The sequence below is a fragment of the Homo sapiens genome, chromosome 18 (genome assembly GCF_000001405.40).
Source record: "Homo sapiens chromosome 18, GRCh38.p14 Primary Assembly".
Classification (NCBI taxonomy): domain Eukaryota; kingdom Metazoa; phylum Chordata; class Mammalia; order Primates; family Hominidae; genus Homo; species Homo sapiens.
Window position 1 is genome coordinate 55,105,066 of NC_000018.10, and position 19,806 is coordinate 55,124,871.

Genomic DNA, 19,806 nt, shown 5'->3' on the forward strand with positions numbered 1-19,806 from the left:
CCCGCTAATTTTTTGTATTTTTAGTAGAGACGGAGATTCACCGTATTAGCCAGGATGGTCTCAATCTCCTGAACTCGTGAGCCACCCCCCTTGGCCAACTTCACTTTTATGCTTGCTTTGATTGACCATGCAGTATGCCATAGTGGTAAGAACATAATGGAAGAACTTATCTATGAGTAACTTCTGGCTTCATTGCTTATTTATTGGAACATTTGGGGAAAATAACTAACTTGTGAGCCTCAGTTTCCTTGTGTTCCAATGAATTTAACAACATCTGCTCCATTTACCAACTTCACAGGGTAGTTGAGAGAATTAATGTGATAACTTGGCTAAAGAAATTCACATGCCAGCAAGTGTCAATGCAGAGGGGCTAATTCTCCCAGAAAGGATAGACCTAAATTTCTGGGTGGTTAGAAAAAGGATTGAAACTACATTTTTATTTGGAAGGCAAAGCTCAGCTAAAACTTCGATGTTGATTCTCACCTGGTGGCAGTTCCTCAAGAGCAGATTCCTCATGGGAAAAAATATTTAGGTTTTTCCAAAGGGGATAGGGTTTTGCACAATGCTAGCCTATGTAAATGTAAGATCTTAGTCCTTTGATTTCCATTATACTTAGCATTCTTATTTGTCTTATGTTAACAAAGGTGCATGTTATAAACAGGAGGGACTTCTGATGCTGCTTTAAATCTGGTGTTTTTGTTTGGTTGGTTGGTTGGTCAAAGTGACTTTCACAATTAAAACCTTGAGCCTGACTCTCTCTTAGTGACTCCATTCCTTTGAGAGACTTCAAAGGAAACTTAATAGAATCATGGCATTTGAGCAGGAAATTCAAAGAAATGGCAATCAAACAAGAGGCTTATTTTATTTTTTGAGAGAAAATTTTACAAATTTCATCCTCAGTGGTAGAAACAGTTTTGTTGGCTTGACTGCAGCTGTGATAAACAGAGCACTCCTTGCTGTTTTGCATGTAGATGTTTATGCATGACCAGGGAAGTGCTGAAGCATTCCTCGTTAACTCACACACCTACAGCTTTCATAAAATCTAAGTGAAAACAATCAGTGCAAAAGGTTTGAATTCTGAGTCATATATCAGCATTCTCAACCCAAGCTCCACATCATTTAGTGAAAATGCTGTTATTTCTTCGTAAAACATTACTGTTTTTTTTACCTGCCTCTATTTTTCCATAAGCATTGTTTCTCCCTGCATTTAAGGAAGAATTTGGTATGATGGAAAGCACTTTATTATTCTTTTCGCTAAACAAAATTGGGTTGACTCCACTGTTTACAGTTTGTATGGCTGGGGCAAGGTATCTTACCTGTTTTCTACTGTAAACTGGATACAACCTCAGAGCCTTTCTCTGAGGAATGAGAAGTCAACATGTGTAAAGCGCACGGGATATCATAGTGAATGCTCTATAAATAATTTCTCTCTGGCTTTTTTTTTTTTTTTGGTCTCCTAACATCTATTCAAGCTTTTATTTCATTTTGATTCTCAGTTCTGTTTCTCAAATTTCAGATCAAGGATGCTTTAGAAGTAGAAGTAGCCTATTACAACATTCATCTTATGGGCTCCGGGAAAACACCGGGTGGGGCCAGAAAGCTGAAATGATTTCCCCAAGATGAGACAGAGAGTCTCAGAGCCAACCCATGGTTCCTGATTCTAAGACTAGTGCTCTTGCTATTAAAAAATATTCAACTGTTTCTTTAACTGATTAGCAGAATTTATTTCAAGACTGCTTTGCCTAAAATTATCTATAAGACAGTTACATAAGCCTTTAACTCTAATTTCTTAATACCAATCCAGGATCTTTTCAGTTACTGGAGCTTCACTGTACTGCTATCTTTAGGGTACACGCCAATAAAAAATATTTGTCAGAGGTTATTTACAAGAAGTTCTTTTGCTACTTTGGTAATAAATTATTCTTAGATCCTTAGATCATACGCAGTATGGGCCAACCCTTAGAGCAATTATCACAACCACAAACTCTTCTAAAAACTGACATAGCACCTGCTGAGCAAGACTGCCTTAGGAAATTCCTTATCCATTCTTTGGCTACAATTCCCTACTACATTTTGGCCTCGGCTAATTGGACCAGAGGGTGAACACCTGACCAAAGGCAAACATTCCATTGGCTGGTCAGCATCCTATTAGGAGGCCTGAAATGAAAGCTTTGACCAATAAAAATCAAGATAACAGGTCCAATTAGATTCTATCTCAGAGTGAAAAAGAGTCAAAGTCAACTAGTTTCTAACAAATGCTGTGATCCACACTTCAGATTGGAGTCTGTGAAATATGCACCAACTTCAAGACAATTCCGTGGTAAAACTGGAAAAAATTAGTCATTAAGACATTAGCCAGGATGTTAGTGGTATGAGAGGATATAAACATGCAGCCTTGAAATTAAAATACATAGCCTTTAGGCTTTGACCTAGATATCTCAGCAAAGTGAACAAAGAATAGCATTAAAAGTAAATAAAAGATTGAGGCAGGAGGATAGCTTGAAGTCAGGAGTTTGAGATTGGCCTGTGCAGTACAGCGAGACCTCTTCTCTACATAAAAATGTTAAAATTAGATACAAATATAAGCCCGTAAATAATCTTTGATCTTAAAATTTCTAATTTGGAAAAGTGTCATTTGTATGGTGTTCTATATTATTAATGGTTTCAAACTTTAATCAGAGATATCTTTCCTTTTCAGGCAAAGCACACACCATGAAAGATACTGCTAAAAGTTTTTAATATTGCCAGTAATATTATCAAGGTAATTAAAGGGCTTGTAATAATATTTTGTAATAATATCTGAATATCTTAGTGATTAAACTTGGAAAAGCCAAACTAGATAGAGAATGACACTGAGAAGAGTAGATAGCACAGGGTCCAAGGTCAGGCGTGGTTCAACAATTGTCCATAGAAAGTCTTTGTTTTGATCAGGATATATGAGTTGGAAAATTTCGTGATCGTGGATGAAGTTTTCTTTGTACTTTCATGAAAAACTACCATTTAAAATTTGGCAGATGTTTAAAAATGATGATTTTTTTAAAACTACCATACTAGACAATGTCATTTGTAAATCAATGTGTAATTAAAACATTTTGAAAAGATGCCCATACCAGACCTCCAGATTTTCTCCACATTTGAGTAACTTGGAATTTGATTTTCTTCATAGCCTGTTAGCCATTTTGACTGAAACAGGACCACACCAAAGGCAAAGGCTGGTTGTTTCAGTCCAGAGATGTGCCTCCATAGAAGAATTACTTTGAACAAATCTTAATAGATTTTAGGAAAATATTTTAAAATCAACTGTTGGAGAATTTAACTATTTTCAGATGAACAGTTTATTGCTTGATTGTTTTTCCCTTCTTATTCTTCCATGTGGTTTTATGCAGAAGTGATCTGGTTGTAAAATATGAAGAGATGGCAATAAACTCATTTGGCATTATTTGGATCAAGCAGCTGGTTGACTTAAATCAGTTATATCACTTCTGTCCACCTCCATGCGAAGCACTGGTCCAGACCACCATCTCCCTCACCTGGGTTACTACAGCAGCTCCCAGCTGGTCTCTCTGCTCCTCTTCTCACTTCTCCAATCTATTCTCAATGAAGAAGCACAAATGAAAAAATATTAATTGTATCATGTCACTCGCCTTCATTCATTTAATGAGCCCTAATCACAACTCTTTAGCTTCCTGCCACATTCAGAGTAAAACAATTTCCCATTCTGGCTTTTAGGGCCATCCTTGATCTTGCCCTTGACTCTTTCCAATCTTGACTCCTCTTTCCCTGGGTCACAATCCTCTAGCCCCACTGGGCTCCTCTCATTCCACCCCTGGAGCACACAAGCTTTTCCTCACCTCAAGGCTGTGCACATGTTCTTTGCTCTCTCTACTGATGGTCTCTCCCTTTCCTCTCCTTTTTTTCTCAAAAAGAAACCCCTCTTCTTTTCAGGATAATGTCAACTCTTCAAGTAAGCCTTTAGCACCCAGCTAAAAGATCCCGTCCATCTCAGTCCCTTGCTGGTTATCTTCTCAGCGCATATCACAATTAAGAATGGCTCTATTGCTTTATTCTGTGTTATCCATGGGAGCTGACAAATGTCTGTCCTCTTAACTCATATCTTCCCAGCATCCAGCAGAGTGCCTTGCCCATGGTAGGTATCTAATAGGTATTTTTTGAATTAATAAGTGAATGAACAAATGATATTTCTTTCTGAAATCTTTGTCATCAATCTAATCTGAAGATTGGGGATATTCTAAATACAGTTTAAATAGCCTTATATTTCTTATTCTCAGAAAATGGCCAAGATATACTTCTGGGGCTGAATGGCTAGACCTGTTTTCCTATGGGAGGGTATGGGGATTCTAGCCATGTGAGATAGCCCATATTTTCCATCTTGTGTCATGCCAGCACTCAGCAGTTTTTATCCCAGTCTTAGTATAGCCCTGAAATCATGGGAGAATATGAATACAGTGAAGTTCAGATGGAGGGTGGCTCAGAGTAGGTTCCCTGGACTAGAGTCCAGCAACTAAAATCCAACTAGTCAGGCCAATGGCAAATGGGCAGCTCCTGGGCACCACGCAGGTTGCTACAAAGAACTCAGATTGAGTTTAGGAGCTACTCAGAGGAACCTGGAACACAACACTGCATCAGCCTGGAGAACACTTTCAAATGCTGAGAGCTTTCCTTACTCCAAGGGCATGTTTGTGAGCTATACTATCCAACCCCCAACCCCTCATACTTGGAGAGATGTAAATCTGAATGACACTTAAGCTCTTTCTCTCTCGTGGATATAGACTGAGATCTTCTATGGGCAAATCATTTTCTAAAGAGGTATGTCATTTCATAGTTTCTTCCTAGATTTGAGGGGATGATGCTATCAATTGTCCCTTAGCCTTTAGAAGAGAGTAGCCTAAGTTGAAGAGTTGCTTTTGTCATGCTAACCAACAGCCAAAGCAGCAGGAATTGTGTGATTGAGGGGAACTTCAGGCAGCCCAGGAGGTGCAGGAGTTTATATTCTCTCTCTGTGGCCTACTCAAAGGACTTTCTGATACATACACCTCCAGGGGAGTGGATAGAGTTTATCACATAAACTCCTCTAGGGAGGATTACTTAGGTAAGACTGGAAACTCAGAGGATCTGAGTAGGGCCAAAAGCCAGAAACTGGTACTCTGAATTATAATCCAGATGTCCAGTGGGAAATGCAGCTTGGGAGAGACCTGCACAAAAGTCCTCCAGCATTTTTGTAGTTTTTGGATCGTTTACTTTAACAAGCTCTTCCCCCACTGCACTCCCACCTCTACCTTTGTTTGTTCAACCTTTCCTATATTGACTTTAAATTAAAAATAAATTTTACAAAACATAACACAATAGAGATTCGATGGCTAAGTGATCACACAGCATTTGCCCCAAAGAATGAAACAATTAAAATCCCATCAGTCTTGATAACGTTTTGTACCGTGATGCTAGACTTCCTGTTGCTTTGACCTCTCTCCTTCCGGCATCCTGTCCGGGGACAGAAATGACACCACAAACGTTTCCTGTGCCTGTCCTCTCCACTTCTGACCCCTCACTACATCCTCTCTCCATCTATTTGGAGAGCAATGATTTGGTTCCTTTGGAATTCCTCCCAGTTCATATATTTGATGACACTTGTTGCTAATTTGGGATGCCGACAATGCAGGCAAAAGCCCGGGCTGAGCTCATACCAGCCTTTAGCCTCCTACGCCACTAGCATACTGGCAAATTGGAAATGCAATATTCTTAGCTATTTTTGGTCATAATTTGTTGTGGGATCCCTTCTCACTGCAGTCTTCCTGAGTATCCTGGATATCTGAAATAAATTAATATCTTAAACTCTTTTAGATACTTTTTCTGTGCCCACTCATTTTGAAAACACCTCTTGAAGTATCATAAATCAGTGTCCTGCTGTGCAACTGTGGGAAGGGTCCTCTGGACAGAGGCTGAGGTCAAGGACTCCAAGTCTGGGACCAAGGAGCTACCATCTTGCTATTTGCCCTGGTGCCATAGGAGCCTTCCTTTTCTTCCCCAAGCATCTCATGTCTGTAGAATTAAGATGTCAGCCCATAGCATAACAGCCAATGGCCAGCCATGCTTAATGCTGTGGTCTGCAGAGCATTCAGTACATTGTTGCCAGCCAGAAGATATTAAATACAAGTCATGACCATACTACCATAGAATAATAATTAAAAGAAGATGAGTTCTGTTGCCTTCATGGTACTCTCCTCCCCATAATTTAGCAGCTGATGGGATTGGGAAGCCAGGCCAGGTACAGAAATGGGGCCCCAGGTGCTGTCTGCATACCTTCCCTGCACCAGGAGGCCTTGGTTCTGAGCCCTGTGCTGTCTGCCTGCTGGCCAGCTGCCTGTGGACACCCACAGATGCCCCCCTGCTGCTCCAGACACACCACTGGAATCTATTCCCAAACAGCACATGTTGGGTTCACATTTTCATCCTCTTCCTTCTTAAGATGAAATCTCCCATTTTTTCCTCTACTGAGAGACCCTACTAACTTACTTTATCTGAATCCACACCTGAACATGATCACTTACCTTTCAGAAGCCAAAAATTAATTACTGGCCTTGCCCAAATCTGCATATCCAGAGCCTAGAAATGCTAGAAGTATTTTGCAAAGTGCCTGGCACAGAGAAGGCATTGACTATGTGGCTTACTGAAGGGAGGGAAGAGACAGAGACAGGAGAGGGAGTAGGAAAGAGGGAGTGAGAAACATTCTAAAACCCAGAGACATTCTAATGTTAAGCCTTCCTTGGGTCATTCCAAGCCTTTCAAAGAGACCTACATCTAAGAGAAAACTATGATTTTACCACCTTATGTGGTTATGTGCTTTTATGACTATCAAAGATATGGAGATGCCAGGAAGAACAGATTGACAATAGCAGCAACAAAAGCAGTACCTAAGAGTTATGAGAACTTTTTGGGAGGCACTTTGAAATCTTTGACACGTGTGGACTCATTGAATTTCCAAAACAATGTCATGGATATAGTGAGTAATACTGTTATAGCTATTTGATAGATGAGCAGATGGAATTTAGAGAGATTGAGTAACGTAAAAGTTAGGAAGTTGGAGGGGGTGGTGTTGAATTAGATGTCACATCTACTTAGGGGTTTCTTTAGGTCTTCTCTGAAGGTTCTATGACCCTTCTCCATGGTTCCAAGTTCTCAGAATGTGAAGAAGGCAGGCTCAGTGTCATCTTTTCCTGCTGTCTTAACTTGAATGCTTTATGATTTGATACCCTGAATCCTCTTTGCAACTCTACTTCGGTTGGGATCTCCTGGTGCCCAGCATACCTGTCTCCCTAATCCCACAGCCTCCTGAAACAGCCACGTTCCTTCCCTGTATTGCCTCCTCGTCTTTCAGTGGGGGGTGACAACAATTCAGGCTCTTTCAGTTGGGTGCCATCAAGGCTTTTGTGAGTTGCTGCTATGGAGACAAAGCACAGGTACCGTTTCCATTTGCCACCAATTGCTATTAAAAGACAGGCACGGGATGGGAGCCCAAGATGTTCAGTGAATCAACCTGGAACTTACCCCTTTTTGAAAATTCTAATAGAGGGTAATTCAAGCATGTTTGTTGGTGAGCCATCTGCCTCAGGGACCAAGCACAGGTTAGATAATTAAACTCAACCTGTTCCTGCATGGCTGTCTGACTTACCATTTACCTCATTTCAGACTACTCGCCTCCAAAAACCCACTCTCCAAACTGGTTAACTCATTGTTCCCCCAAAACACCTGTCCTCCCTTCTTATTTTTACTCATGCCATCCCATCCACCTGGAATGCCCTTACTTTACTCTCCCTTTCCAGATCCTTATCATTTTCTTCACAATATGTTCCCCAATCACCTTGCTCACAATGATCAGTCTCTCCCTTGGATTCCAATAGTAACGAATTCTATATAATTTGTCTGGTAATTAATCACATGCTGCCTTACAACATTCTACTCTTACCTTAAACTGTTATTTAAATCTTTAATTTTAACATAACTGTTTCCATATGTTTGTCTTATTTCCTTAATTGGAATATAAGATCTTCAAAGGCAGGAGATATATTATACAATTGTATCCCCTTTAGTACTTGGTATGGGGCTGATTGTTCATCTTTTTTTTTTTTTCCTTTTTTTTGGCAAGTGGACAGCCAAAATTATAAAATTTCAGCCAATTACTTTGGTAATAATAGATCAATAATAGTCAAACATGTATGAATGAGTGGAGAACGTGAGACACTTTCTAACCCAGAGAACTGAGGAATGAGCAGGAACAAGAGGACTTTTAGGAGTCCACTGGCCATATCTCTTTCAGGAAGCTTTCAGTCTGCTTCCTTTCTTCCAAAGGAAGACATATAATTCTAGAAAAATGCCTCCATAATTCTTCGTTTGTCTCTCTTTTTCTCTTCCCCATCCCTTCCACCTTGCAACATGCATACTTTATTTCTTCTCTTTTTCTTTCCTCTTGAGTACTCATAAAGACACGTCCTAATGCTTTTACTGTGGCTGTGACATCTTCCTTTGCTACTCAAGGCCAGGGAGTTTGAACCCTCATTGCACAAAGAAATAATTAAAAAGACCTTAATGAAATTAGTATATGTGGTAGGCAGCCTCTGTGATGACCCTCAAGGACCCCAGACTCCTAATATACACACCTCTGTAGAGTCACATTCCTCGAGTGTGGGCTGGAACCAGTGACATGTTTTTAACAAGTGGAAAATAGCAAATGTGATAGTATGGCACTTTCCAGATAAGGTTCCAAAGAAACTTTGGTTTCTGTCTTGCCTGCCTTCCCCGCCTCCTTTCTCTGAGCCTTCCCTCTAGGGGAAGTTCCTCTAGGGAACAACAACTCATATGTTGTGAACAGCCCTGGGAAGAGACCCATGAGGCAAGGAACTGCCAGTCCAAGGGCCCCGAGGTCAGCTGTGGGAATGAGCTGGGAAGTAGATTCACCCCAGTTGAGTCCTCACGGCCCTGGCCAACACTTCATGGTAGACCCTGAGCCAGAGAACTGAACTACGCCACCGAGATTCCTGACCCACTCTAGCTGTGAGATTGAAAACATTAGATGTTTTAAGCCACCAAATTTTCAGGTAATTTGGTATGCAATTAGATAACTAATACAGTATTTAATTATGGTTAACCATTCAGAAAACAGGCAGGATCATCTGAATGCCTCTAATGATGTTTATAACATTTTCCTTTTGTAAGCTTGAAAAACATAGATGGTTCATTTCAGACAGAATAATTGAGTTGATACTAAGTGGTTGGTCCACTTGCTCCATGTTCTATTGTCCGTCTTTGATCACAGTGAGTCTGGCTGATGATTAGCAATAGATCCAGAGCTGGGCCAAGATTTCACAGCTAGATAGATGTCTGATAAACTAAACAGTGTGGGACAAGTCACTTAGCCTGCTGTAATTCTCAAGATGATCAGGGAAAAACTGGTATCCTCAGTGGCTTAGTCTCCAAAGTTCAGCAAAGTTCTAGTAATTACTCAGGAAAGAACTAAGCTTTTGCTTCACTATTTGAGATTGTACCTTCCCTAGTCAGGATAAATCTCACTTGTTTAATGGACAAACTGGGATCAGCAAACCATAGCTCATAGGCCAAATCTACACCACTGCCTGTTTTTGTAAATAAGGTTTTATTGGGACATGGCCACACCCATTTTTAGATATGCCTGTCGCTGCCTTTGTACAGCAAGGACAAAGTTGAGAAGCTGCAACAGAGTCAGTGAAAGCCACAAAGCCTAAATTTTTTATCATCTGACCCTTTGCAGAAAAAAAATGTGTTAGCCCCTGCTCTAAGACAGTGAATTGCAAACTGTATTTGAAGGAGCACTGTTTCTACCAAATGGCATTAAATGTTACACGGGAAAACAATAGATAGGTTCCAAATGTTGGGAAATACCAGGTCATACAAAGTTAAACAAGTTGTTTGCTGCAGAATTTCTCTGAGCTCTTACTAAAGCTCCAAGAGGAGGATATGGAATGCTGCATGTTTTACAATTTTTTGGACCATAAAGCTCTTCATTTCAGAGAGCATCCCAAGAGACTAGTGTCCAATTTCCTGGGAAATGCTATTCTAGTGCTATGAGAGCAGCAGTTTTCAAAGCATTGACTTTGCAAGATATGGAGTAGACATAAGCATCACCAATTTTTGACTTTTAAAAACATCCACAACACTTGGAAAATACACAAGGAAACGGCCTTACTAATCGTGAGCTCAGTATACAACGGACATTTGGAAAGTCAGATAAATATAAACATAAAGTTGCTTGCTAGTAGCAGGCTCTGTTTTTGCAGAGCCAGACACGCTCAAAAAAAAATCCTAAAGTTGAAAGGAGAACAACCTGATATTTTACTTCAGTAGGTCTCAAATTTTCTACCACAGAGCCGCCATATTTCATGCCATGAGGTCTCTGCCTGGGAAGAAAGAAGGTCTAGGTTTTAACAGCCAATTTGGAAAAAAATATGGGTTTTACTACTAAAATTTACTAGTCCAACCTTTGTTCCAGAAATCAGGAACACACTTCTAGAGCGCCAAAAAGATAATGGTCACAGGTAGCCAGCCATGGACCAATGACCAAGGTTCAGACCCATGTTATAACTTTTCCCCCCACCATACTATCCTGCTCGTGGCCTGTGGGACACATTTTCTGGATGACTGGCCAGGCTAGGGGCCTAGCCCATAAGCTTGGGAAACTGCTAGCTTACTCACAACCTTGTCTGAATCAGCACAGGATAGGGGAAAAAACACCAGAAAGAGTTTGGTGAGTTCAAATGAAGACAATAAATTACAAAGTAGGATGGAGAGGGAGATGTTTCCTATTGTCTCAGAACCATGGTCAAAGTCCAAAGGTGAGCTTGAGTTGTTGGTGATAAACATGTCTCCATAAGGTTTACTAGAGGCTCCATCTCTGAACTATCCCCAATGAAATTAAGAAAAGACTTGAGTTGGGGATGGGAGAGTGGTAACATAAAGTTGCTTGCTAATAGCAGGCTCTGTTTTTGCAGAGGCAGCCACATTCAAAAAAAATCTTGAAGTTGGAAGGAGGACAACCTGATATTTTACTTCAGTAGGTATTTGGTGAAGTGCATGCTAGTGAAGAAAGTTTTTTCTGTCATGTCTTTGTAGTTGTGGCTAGTGGTGGTGCCTCTCTCTCCTCAAAACCAAGTAAGGCAATCTCCAAGGGAATCCTGAATAGATGCTGAAGGTGACTCTAAGAGACGTAGGCTGGCTGGATACATGCTAAACTGCAGATTTTGAGGTCTTCTCTGATGAGAGGAGTGGGGCATTGAGAGAGGATACTAGGAAATGAGGGGTAATGCACACTATCCTTTTTATTTCCTGATGCCTGCTGAGGTGAGAGGAGAGAAGGGTGTGTACTAGATATATGTCACCTGGAGTTTTGGGAAGGTGCATATTTGAGTATAGTAAATAGTGTTCGCTTAGAGACCAGAGATTCCTGAAGGTAGTTGCTCTAGGTCAGTAGCCCAAGACAGCAATGGCTTGTCATGCAATATACCTGGAAATGAGATATGGGCAGCCCCATCCCATTTCAAGGCTCTGTGGACCTGGGAAATACAAAAGAGGACTCCAGTGGCTCCCATAGCTCCATGGGAAGCAACATGGAAGCTGATGATAAGAGCCATAGAACCATTCAGGATGACCACTGGACCAAGCAACAGGAGACCCAGCACAGACAAGGAGTTGGAGATGTTTATCACTGCTCAAGGCCAATATACAACTGCCCTCTCTGGTGGAGGTGGAAGTTCCCAGTGATGGAGGGGGCCAAGATGAAGCTGAATGCTGTCCCTCAAACACACCACTTCTATGGAGGCTGCCAATGAACTGAGAGCACCAACCTCAGAAAGGACTGGCCTGAAGCAGAGCTCGACCAGGACAGCTTCCTCCCACCACACACCAGTCCATCTGTTTCTCATCTGCTGACCATGCCACGATGGGCCAGAATAGGATTCAGGAGGCTTCTGAAGTCTAAAGAAAGGAATTCAAAGAGAGAAGGAAATATGTAAGTACACGAAGAACAAACCACCAACCTTCAAGCCACTGGAGTCACAGACTGGGGGAGTCAACATTTGTGGGGGAGAACACAAGCTCTGAATCTGATTTGAGACTGAAGTATCAAAATACAAAAGACTGAATCTTAAATAACAAAGTGAACTGTTCTAATAACCAAAAGTGACAGGAAAGTTAGAGGAGCAGGCCAAATTGCTGTTAAGGGAGTTACTTTCCAGCAGGAAAGGTGGGTCAACATATCCTCGTTGAAGGGGTTGTCATTGTATAAGTGTAAAACTGTTTCATTTTTATACCCATAACAAGTTGAGACTCCCTAATAAATTTGTTACGTAAGGTAAACACTTTGGACAGAACTTTAATGCTTTCATATTTCTACTGCTTTTCTTCCAAAGGATTCTGAAGGCAACATGCCAATATTTTCCCCATTCTGCAAATTAGCACACGGAGAGAGTGGTGTTGGTTATCAAAGGGACTCAATCTATCTACAGCCTTCTGTCTCATACTCATATCATGAGGCGGCTCACTCCCCCTCAGACCCAAATGTGATCTGTTTTTAATTGGGAACAGAACTTTTCAATTCTTGAGCCCAAAACAAATTAAAAAGTAGAAGAAGGAGGAGGGGAAGGACAAGAAAAAGGTTTGCTTTTCCCCTAATTTGAGAATCTGTGATTTCTCACTGGTTTTATCAGTACCAAGATTTTTTGTTTTGTTTTGTTTTGTGGGTTTTTTTTTTTTAATGATTCTTTTCTCTTTTTTTCACAGTTCTCTATTCAAGACTAAATTTATCTGCTTTAAAAAATCCATCTGGCTTTTGTGTTATGGAAGCCCACACAAGCCTGCACCAACCGTTCTAGAAGCAACAAAGAGTTATCAAACGGAGTAAGTTTCAAATGAAGGGACAGCAAGTTAATTAAGGCCTGAGTTTCTTAATAAGGAATGAAGCACAGTGGAGACTTGAATGATGCCAAAACACATGAAAGTTTCAAAGACTAAAACAGTTTGTGAGGAAGAAAAAAAGAAGAAGTGACTTGGACAATTTTTTAGGTTCTACCCCCAAAATAAATATATCTATTCCCATTTGTATCAACAGACAAATGTAAATATCACTCAAAGAATCTCAAACTAACATTAACATGAGAATGAAATATAAATAATTCTGAATGTAAAGCCTAAGTATAAAACATAGTATAAAAAATGTAAATATAATAAAACTAGGAATAACAACATTGCATTACGTTGATTGTTAAGAGATTGTCACTGGTTTTCTTCAGAAACTTTAGGCAGATTTTCCTCTTCTATACTATTCTTGACAAAGTATAATTTCTTTCAACCAATGGATGAACAACGTCCAATAAAGTGAAACCTTTCTGCAAAAAAAATTATTTTATTCAAGTGATCCTGGTGCTAATGAGATGCATTGTTATTAGGCTTTATTTTTAATATTTTTATATCAATGTTAATGGGCAAGAAAAATGGGGAAAATCTCTTAGGAAAGATCAATATATTTCTAAGTTATTGAAAAGCCTGTAGATTTAAAATGTGCGTAATATATTCCTGCTATACTGGCATGATCTAGGGAGAGGCCCTACTAAACTAAGAATTAAGGGATCTGAAAGCTCATTTCAATCCTGCCTCAGATGTTTTCAGGGAGATGCTTTAGCACATGGTACCTCAGTTCACTCCTCAGAACAAGGAAGCTGTTGATAGCCACACCAAATCCTGCATGCCTCTAGGAAATGAATTAAGAATTCATGTGTGAAATGTTTCTTTGAATTTTATAATGAAATGGCATCTTATAATTGTATGATATGGCAAAGTGAAATCAGGGTGTGGTTATGTTGAAACGTTTCTGTTTCTTTGGCTAAACCAAAGATAAACAAGCAACTTTTTCTGAAAGCAGACTTCCTTGGGGGAAAATCAAATTGTTGCAAATTATAGAAAGGGAGAGAAGACAGGGAGATGGATGGAGAATTTTGAGGAGGGCATAGACCAGACAGGCTCAAAAAGCTCAGTTACCATCCTGTTAAAATATAACCCACAAAATGTTACACCATAGCATTCTTCACAGCCATCTGCTTCTGCCATCAACTTTGATTCCCACAAACAGATTTCAAAAGTTGAATCTGGCCCTCAGTGAGTTTAGGAACATTCAGCAGGACTATCTGTATGTGATCAGAAAATTCACCAACTCTCTATTCCTGTCTCCAGAAACAATCTATCTCTCATCCTTTCCAATTAAGGCATAACATGGTCTTGTAATTCCTTGTAGCTTTTCACATCCTTCACAGGGCCTAGCAGAAAATTTAAATATAGTTTGGACTCCCATCCTTTTCTCTCCATCTCCACTTCCACCCCTGCCCCCAGGCCTACCGTGTCAAGTCATCTTTCCTCAGCTGGATGACTGCGATAGCCTCCTACTGGTTTCCTGTCGTCCACTCTAATCTCTTTCCCACAGCCACAGTGAACTTTGTCCAAAGGAAATCAGATTGTGTACTCCCCTGCTTAAAACCTTCCAATGGTTTTGCATTGCACTCTAAAAAAAAAAAAAATCTAACTCCATATAATAGCTGCCAAGACTTTATATGTCAGTTAGTCATTGCTGCATAACAAACCACCACAAAACTCCATGTCGTAAAACCACAAAAATTATTTATTTTTTATGTATCTGCTTAGCTGATATAGGCTGGACGTGGGCTTATGCACGTATCTTTGGGTTTGGTTGGGGTTCTATTTCACATAATTCTCCTTCTCTTACCCGCAGACCTTATGCTAATAAGCCAGTCTTTTAATGAGGATTTTTTTTTTTTTTTTACAATATTGACAGGCAAGCATGATCTGGGAGTGGATTTACCCACTAGGCATAGAAAGCACAATGACTAGGGCCTGCAACACTTTTAGGAGTCCAGATAATTGCTTTAATTTTACATTATTTTAAAATCAGGAGGAAAACTTGAATACAATATTAATGCATATTTACAAATAAATTCACTAATATATTTGTCTTTATACCAATGCAGTTTTAAAATATATTTTTGAATTTTCTTTATGGAGGAAGTGGCCTGGAAGGTAAAAATGCTGAGGACCACAAAGCTCATAATGCAGCCTTGCACAATCCTAGTTAATCAAACTTGAAGCATAGAAAACTCATTGTTGGTTCTCTGTTCTCTTACTTAAGTAAGTCATGGAACATCATGAAATGTCAATTTCCTCCCTAAAATAACACGGCGGTAACTGGCAAGAGATTCGCCTATCCTTTATAAAAGTAGAGTACCCCAAACACTGGATGATTCCTCCTTATAGTCATTAATTTGCTCTACCCTGGAACTCTTGGCTGGTTTTGCTTATTATGAGAGACACAATTTTAAAACAGTATTGTTCTAGGTCTGTCATTGCCACCATGGGTCATAATATAAAGGAACAATATGGAGAGTTACTTTAGTCCTGTGCAAAGAACAGAGGAAGACTTTATTCTCCAAAGTTTTATACCACTTTCCAGGAGTCTCCTTTACATTTTAATTCTATAAAAGTCCCATTCATATTATCAATTCTATTAGGTTTATAGAAATCTAATGCTGGCCAAACATCATGAGACTCAGAGGGGACGCAAAAATAGAAGTTACTGTTTGAAGAAGAGAAGCAAAACAACTCTTCCTCTGTAAAGATAGTTCAAAAGTAAGAACTTTCTTTATCTTGCATAGTCTTGTCATTCTCACAAGAATAAATGTTCTTAGTGACCATCTATATATATAGTTATTCCATCCATTTTAAAAGAAGCTGTGTAATTTTTTTAGATCACTGTACATAATACATTCCAATGTTAACTGTGTCCTTGTGAAACTCTAAATTAGCTTTATAATCTTTAAAGTATTTTGACATAATTCTTTGCTTTTTTAATGGATAGTTAATTTCCTGTTTCCATGTAACCCTTGATGACTCTGTGAAAGCTTGGATTACTTTTCCTCTCTAGTTCCCAAACCACAAATGGGAAAAACTGCAATCCTGCAGTGGCCACATCACCTACCTAAATATTTTCACAGATTCTGAGATTTGTTTCCTTGCTGAACTGGGAGAGAAACTTTCATGGCATTTTACCCTCTGGAATATAAAATTAATTTAATCTTATCTTTGTTTACACATACTTCTTGGTACCCAGCAGTCCTAAAATACCTCCACGGACTCCATAACAATATGACTTTTCATGGGCTCCATTTTTGGGGTGTCCATGTGTCTTGTGGCCCATGAATTGTAGAAAGCATTTCTTCTTCCCTAACTCTGAATCTCATGCCTAAAATTTCCTAAACTTAGGCCAGTCATCTATTCATCCCTTCATCATACTTCTGAGCATAACACTGAGATATATCTTCAAATAATACAGAGGGAGATTTTGGAACGCCCAAGCATGTCCTCTGTGGCATCGACTCCTGGGCAGGAAGCGTGGGTGGCCCGCTTAGGGTCACCTGTCAGGGTGTCTGGTCTAAAAGAAAAAAGGAAGAACAGGCTTGAATCTCAGCAAGGCGGCCTCTTCCTCTCAGCTGTCTCTTTCATTCTAAGGAAAGGGTCTCTGATTTACCTGGTGGAACTAAGGTAGTGGTTGTCAAAGACAGGCCCTGAGCCAACAGCGATAACATCACCGGGAACTCATTAGAAATACATATTACTGGGCTTCACTCCAGACTTCCCAAACTGGAAACTCTGAGATGGGGCCCACTGACCTGTGTTTTAACAATCCCTTCAAGTGATTCAAGTTTGAGAATCACGGGACTAAGATGTTTTTATTAAAACTGAAAGTTGAACCCACAAATTTTTCACTTGGCCCCACCAAGGCCTTATTCAAATCTGTGCTTCCTGGTCCCTATTAGATAGCTCTGTTGCAGGTGCTCGCTGCAACCTCTGCCTTCCTGGGTGGGGCACAGGTAGTGTCAGAAAAGGATCCTTGTAAGATGCATGCAAAGTCGGCTTCAGTAGCCTCCTGTATTTCCATTCAGGACTTCTATCCTTCAAATTCCCTTCATGAGTTTATGTTGTGCTCACAACCCCCAAATCTCAGTGGTTTAAAACCACAGGGATTATTATCAATCATACCGCATGTCCAGTGTGAACCAGTGGGAGAAGGGAACCTCTGTCCATTACGGTGATTCCCACTGTGGGACCCAGGCTGGTACCAACTCATATCTTGCCTGTGAATGTGGCAAAGGAAAACAGTATGGCAAGGTACAGAGTGGCTCATCAAACTTCTGTTCAGAAGTGACACACAACACTTCTCTCCCATGCCATTGGCCAAAGCAGATAACATAGTTATGCCTGGTCTCAATGGGGCACTAAAGTTTAATCCTACCCCAAGGAGAAGAAGTGTCTATTACCAAAAAGTACTGCAATCTTACTCCATCCTCCAAAGGGCTATACCGTCAATGTAGAATTTCAGACTCCATGCTGGACAATGGAAAACCGTGTTTGTGTGTGTGTGTGTGTGTGCACACGCACTCACACACATGCACATACATGTGTGTGATGTTGAATGGATCCAGGATGAAGAGGGATTCTCTGGGAAACCTACTTCCTGTTGGCTCTTAAGCATAGTCATCGGGCCAATTTCATAAAGGACAAAAAACAGTCACATTGATGGAATGCCATCTAAGTGCTGGCTACTATGCCAGACCTTTTCTATTCATATTCTCTCTCAAGCTTCACAGAAACCTTATGCAGGAGAGAAAGGAACTAACCTTGTTCAAAGAAGCCAAGGCCCAAAGCAATTTAGTAACTTTGCTGTAGTGACAGAGGATATGGTAGCACTAGGATACTAAGTTCTTGAGGACCCACGAAGCTCGATCTACTCCCAGGAAAACACAGAGCTGAAGGGGAGACATCTCTCTCCCATGTAACAAAGAGAATCATTGATTCTTCTGCTGACCTGCATGTTTCTGGTGATCCCCACTGGTGCAGAATTGGCCTCTAGTCATGGTATACAGATCAGTCTTAGTCCAATGTGATTGTTACAGGTTGAACATCCCAAATTCAAATCCAAAATCTGAAGTTAACCAAAATGTGAAACCTTCTTTTATTCTTTAGAGACAGGTTCTCACTCTGTTGCCCAGGCTGGAGTGCAATGTGATATGATCAAAGCTCATTGCAGCCTTATACTCCTGGGCTCAAGTGATCCTCCTGCCTCAGCTTCCCAAGTAGCTGGGACTACACATGCATGTAACCACATCCAACTAATTTTTAAATTCTTTGTAGAGATGGGGTCTTGTTATGTTGCCCAGGCTGATCTTGAACTCCTAACCTCAAGCAATCCTTCCACCTTGACCTCTCAAAGTGCTGGGATTATGGGTGTGAGCCACAGTGCCTGGCTAAAATTCAAAACTTTTTGAGCATCAATATGATGCACAAATGAAATACTCACTGGAGCATTTCAGATTTCAGATCTTCAGATTTGGGATGCTCAACCAGTATAATGTAAATATTACAAAGTTTAAAAAAATTCAAAGTATTTCTCATCCCAAGCATTTCAGATAAGGGATATTTAACTTGTACTATCAAAGTGAAGCTGTTTCTCCCCTATGAGTACAAATTTTCAGGGTTTTAATTGAGAAAGCAGTTCTTCAAATAAAAGTAGAGAAAACTTTGTTATTTTTACTAATGAATATCAAGAAGTCTACTCAAATCTAGAGTGTCCCTAGATGAATAAAACCAACAAACCCTAGCTTAATGAAACCATGAACTCTGCCATTTTAGAAAAATAAAATAAAATAAAATAAACCACACTTTATAGCTTTATTTGAGGGAAGCCCTTTGATTTACATTATTAGTGGTATATCAAAAGAAAACTTCTTTAGCTGTATTTCACCTTCAAAAGCACTGCACAACAAGCAGCAATAATGCACATTAGAGTGTATCACTGGTGGAGAAACTAAGAGGCAAGGATATCCAAGAAACAGAACCCTGCAAATCAGGTAACAAGCAGCTAACTTTGTCAACTCAATCCAAAAGTGCTTACCTCACTCAGAAATGGCACCAAAGCCCTTCATGCAAACGCATCATGAAATTATGTCGATGTGATGCTGAACTCAGCAGCTCCATCAGCAGGACACCAGCTGACTTCAAATGTCTCCCAAGAACACCATGAGCTAATGACCGTGAATGCTATCCAGGGTCAACCCCACAGCATCCCAGGAGACAAACACCAAAAGCCCAAGAAGGATGTAATCTTTCAAAGAGTGAGTCACACTCACTGAAGTGGCTATATGGCATAGAGACAACTAAATATTTATTGTTCTGTAATATTCAAACTGTCACCATTAGAAAACAATTTCCAAGAAATTTGTTGGTTTTTATTACCAAGCCCATTATAAGTACACTTGGAAGAGAAAAAGTCTTACTAACTGAGGAGAAATGCCACAATAACACAGCGTTGTAGTACAATCATGCATTTTTCATTCAAGCCCTAGGAGTGACTTGTGTTAACATAATATGAGCTTGGAAGATCTCAGATGTAAGTTATGGAGCTAGCATAATCTCCAAGTCAACTGCCTATAACATATTCATTTCTTTACAAATTCTCTAAGAATGATAAATCCAGCCTGACTTTAATTACTATGGCATCTTTCTATATTTTCAATAACATACATATATAAATCCTAAAATCCAACAAATAATAAAGCAAAAATCACTGAATACACATACAGTGTACAGTTTTAGGGAATACTCTGAACTGGCTGATAGTCCTATCATTAGCTTGTTACGATCTAC

General features: G+C 39.9%; 1 long non-coding RNA gene across 1 annotated transcript; it reads right to left on the reverse strand.

Annotated features, from left to right (window-relative positions):
- Positions 1-838: 838 nt before the first annotated feature.
- LINC01929 (long intergenic non-protein coding RNA 1929) lies at positions 839-19,241 on the reverse strand. Its single transcript, NR_110743.1, has 3 exons — positions 19,055-19,241; positions 11,889-12,018; positions 839-3,588 (listed from the first exon to the last, which is right to left on the reverse strand). It is a non-coding gene; the product is annotated as a long intergenic non-protein coding RNA 1929 (long non-coding RNA).
- Positions 19,242-19,806: the final 565 nt, after the last annotated feature.